A 1,735-nucleotide genomic window follows, 5' to 3' on the forward strand; every position below is an offset into this window, starting at 1 on the left:
ACTTCAGGTCTCCTCTCTGCTGAGAGTTTTTGGTCACCCAATAAAGCTCTTCTCCACGTTGCTCACTCTCCAGTTGTCTGTGTAACCTCATTCTTCCTGGACTCAAGACAAGAACTCAGGACCCGCCAAACGATGGGAGCAAAAGTGGCTGTAACATGTTCCTGGCTGGCTTCCTGAGCTGCGGGTGATGGCATGCCCCCAGAATGCAGGAGTAGGAGTGAAGAATGGTGACCTTTCTGGAAACCCAGACCTCAGGATTCCCCCAGCCAAAGCCATTACACTATAGCCCTCCCACCCTCCACTGGCACCACGTAACCACTCCATGCAACAAGAAGCAGCAGCGGGGTCAGGTAGGTCAGCCCAGGAGCCATGGGCCGGTGCCAGGCAGTGGGACTGAAAGAGTTGTAACACAAACAGGCTGAAACATGACCCCCCCCCCAACCCCAACTTCACTGCACTGTGGGCAAGGAGAAGGAGAGAAGAGATGTGGCCCTTCTGGGAGCACAGACCTTGGGAATCCCCTAGCCAAGGCTGTGACCTGCTATGAAACCCTCTTTGGGGCTCTGCAGCTCCTGGAATCTCTGAGCTTTTGGGCACCACTACATTCCTCTCATCCAGATGATGGTGCCTGCAGCAGAAGCCGCTTGTGGTACGTCTGGTGCCATCACAGCTTAGCATGGATCCAGTGCCTATACTGGTGTCTGTGTTGGTGCCTGGAGCTGCCCACCCCTCCATGGCAACCAGCAAGCCTGGCTGCATGCAGTGGCTGGACCTGGTGCTCACTTGCTCTCACACCCCTCACCACTCCATGTCTGGCTTTCCCTTGACAGGCATGGGATCTGGGCCAGTAGTGTGAGCCAAGTGCAGTTTGTTGGGCCGAGTGGGTGGGACAAGCCCAGTGGGTGCGGGCAAAACTCGAGCAGAGGCACTGCCAACCACAGAGGTTTCCAGCTGATGAAGTGACACCTGAAGGATCTTGTGACATAATGATCCAAGCCACAAGACAGAGTGACTTAGCATGTCTGTATCTCTCCCAAAATGTTTTAGAAAACCCTAGGGCAGTGGAGAAGAGGGCAGTAATTCTAGAACTACTTGCAAAAGATGAATTTAGATTGCTAGGAGGCTGTGAAGGGAAGGCTGGAAAGGTGGACATTCAGAGGGTACAAGAGATGGTAATAAATTCATTTCTAGATGAATGATTTTTTTTACACTTGAACAACAGACCACAGTCAACAGGGGAATGCTTATTAAAAAATGCAACTTCTGGGTGGTTCCCCAGGCTCACTAAATTAGACATTTTATTGAAGGCTGTTGCTAGGAATTTCTTTTTTCATGAACTCCCCAGGCAATTCTTATATGCACATCAATTTGGGGTCCAGTGAGTCACCCGTGCTGCCTATTAAATATACACAGATTTCCTTGGCTTCACCTGCTTACCGAATTTCAGATTCAGTAAGTCAGAAACTGGGTCTCAGATATTTATCAAGTCTCCACAAGACCCTGGACGATTATTTAAATGCTGGAAATTTGGAAAACAATAAGGACATTGTACCAGCGATGGTATGGTAGTAGGAGGGGAGAATGCGAGACTAGGTGACATATTTCTTATTTGGGAAGCGGTTCTGAGCTAACCAAAGTTTGTTAGTGAGTTTGTGACCAGAGCTGTTGTTAAGAATTCAACTTGGTAAACCCTACTAAAAGATGTTTAACCTATTGGATTAACATCATGTTGAGT

The 1,735-nt window shown here is 49.0% G+C and overlaps 1 annotated feature.

The window, feature by feature from the left end:
* Positions 342-842: an enhancer, noted in NCBI's record as "H3K4me1 hESC enhancer chr9:121126258-121126758 (GRCh37/hg19 assembly coordinates)". NCBI's record gives its function as "activates a minimal SCP1, AML or CMV promoter by ChIP-STARR-seq in naive H9 embryonic stem cells {active_cell/tissue: H9 hESC(naive)}" and the evidence as "EXISTENCE:reporter gene assay evidence [ECO:0000049][PMID:30033119]".

The sequence above is a fragment of the Homo sapiens genome, chromosome 9 (assembly GCF_000001405.40).
Source record: "Homo sapiens chromosome 9, GRCh38.p14 Primary Assembly".
In the NCBI taxonomy this organism is placed as follows: domain Eukaryota; kingdom Metazoa; phylum Chordata; class Mammalia; order Primates; family Hominidae; genus Homo; species Homo sapiens.